The sequence below is a fragment of the Homo sapiens genome, chromosome 11 (assembly GCF_000001405.40).
Source record: "Homo sapiens chromosome 11, GRCh38.p14 Primary Assembly".
Taxonomy (NCBI): domain Eukaryota; kingdom Metazoa; phylum Chordata; class Mammalia; order Primates; family Hominidae; genus Homo; species Homo sapiens.
This window is the reverse complement of record NC_000011.10, coordinates 37,968,027-37,970,071: the sequence shown is the minus strand read 5'-3', so window position 1 is coordinate 37,970,071 and position 2,045 is coordinate 37,968,027. Positions and strand designations below refer to the sequence as shown.

At 40.3% G+C, this 2,045-nt stretch overlaps 1 annotated feature.

The window, feature by feature from the left end:
- Positions 279-831: an enhancer, noted in NCBI's record as "NANOG hESC enhancer chr11:37990791-37991343 (GRCh37/hg19 assembly coordinates)". NCBI's record gives its function as "activates a minimal SCP1, AML or CMV promoter by ChIP-STARR-seq in naive H9 embryonic stem cells {active_cell/tissue: H9 hESC(naive)}" and the evidence as "EXISTENCE:reporter gene assay evidence [ECO:0000049][PMID:30033119]".

Genomic DNA, 2,045 nt, shown 5'->3' with positions numbered 1-2,045 from the left:
CAATTTAAAAAGAACCACTAATGCCTGGCATTAAAGGTGGGTTGAACAAGCAGGATCATGGGTAATTCTAGACAGAGACTGTAGCCAGCAGAAGACTATAGTGGTTATGCAATATGCGTGTAAGCCAAATATTTCTCAAACTACAAGATTTTTATTTTAGCCAGGTGTCGTGGCGTACACCTGCAGTCGCAGCTAATTGAGAGGCTGAGGTGTGGGAATCCCTTGAACCCAAGAATTTGAGTCTAACCTGGGCAATATAGCAAAACTTCCATTTTTTTAAAAAGAAATATTTATTTTAAATTTACTTTATTCCTCTGAGTGTATGGAGAAAAGCTCATAAAAAAGATGTTTCTTTTTTCATTTCTAAAAGTGGTTTTGTTAGTGTGTTTTGTGCAAGAGTCAAACATTACAGGCTCACAGTTTTTAAAAACTTTCACTTTATAGACTGTGTCAGGCCTCTGAGCCTAAGCTAAGTCATCATATCCCCTGTGACCCGCACGTACACATCCAGACGGCTCGTTCTTGCCTTAACTGATGACATTCTACCACAAAAGAAGTGAAAATGGCCTGTTCCTGGCTTAACTGATGACATTATCTGTGAAATTCCTTCTCCTGGATCATCCTGGCTCAAAAGCTCCCCTACTGAGCACCTTGTGACCCCTACTCCTGCCTGCCAGAGAACAACCCCCCTTTGACTGTAATTTTCCTTTACCTACCCAAATCTTATAAAATGGCCCTACCCCTATCTCCTTTTGCTGACTCTCTTTTTGGACTCAGCCCGCCTGCACCCAAGTGAAATAAACAGCCTTGTTGCTCACACAAAGCCTGTTTGGTGGTCTCTTCACACGGACGCTAGTGAAAGACTGATTTCATTGTTTAGTGTATATTACTCTTGATATATATGAAGATTTGCATTTGAATTCCTAATATTCTTTGTTTAAATAAGTTTATAAATTAAATCTAATATTCCATGTCTTTCAGCAGTATCTATCTCCTAATATTACAATAATTAATTAATGTACTTCTTATTCCTCACACACCTCTACCTAATATAAAATAATTTCCATGTCAAGCTGTTTTCACACTTTTGCATTTGGGCATGAATATATCTCAATTATTTAATGTCATATTTCTATAATCTCCTTTGATATAAACATAGTAAAAGTGAAGAAATCAGAATACTTTCTCTGCATCCTACATTGTTACTCCCTACTTAATAATTTTCACTTATGTGATTTTTTTAGCTTATCACATACATAACCTTGACATTTTTTTTTTATTACTGTACTTCCAATAGTTGCTTGAACATTTTTTTCTAAGACTAAATGAATTCATTCCTGACAGGTAAAAACTTATGCCTTTATTTGTTTTTCTTTTTCACCTTTTACTTTAGAATCAGGGGTACATGTGAGGATTATTGTGGAGGTATATTGGCATGATGCTGAGGTTTGGGGTATGACGGAACCCATCGCCCTGGTGATACAATGATAGAGGCAGGAGACTGAGAAATTCTAGGCAGACACGAGCGGGTCCCTGGAGAAGCCACACCCTCGAGCCAAAAAGCCTGAGACCTTGGCCCAAAGTAAGAACTTACATCCTTGTTTTCCTGCTGTAATGTTGCCTTTTCCTAAACTACGCATGGCTCCACCCTGCCCCATCCTGTGCCTATAAAGACCCCAAATTCAGCTGGCAGAGACGAGAAGCAGCTGGATGTCGGGGACTACTGCTGGATGTCAGAGAGCAGTGGCTTGGCTTCAGAGGAAGATTACTTACCCGCCCCCTGTCCCCTTATCAGCTCCCCTTACTGCTGAGAGCCATTTTCATCCGCAATAAAATCCTTCACATTTACCATCCTTCAATTCGTTCCTACAACCTCATTTCTCCTGGATGCCAGACAAGAGCTTGGGAGCAAGGAGCGCGGATACAAAATGTTGAACACTGGCCCTTTGCCCTCACTGTCTGAGGGCAGCCACAGCCCCACTGACATGTTAACACTAAATTAACACTCAGCCACTGTATGGTAGAGCAAAAAAAAGCACTGTAAC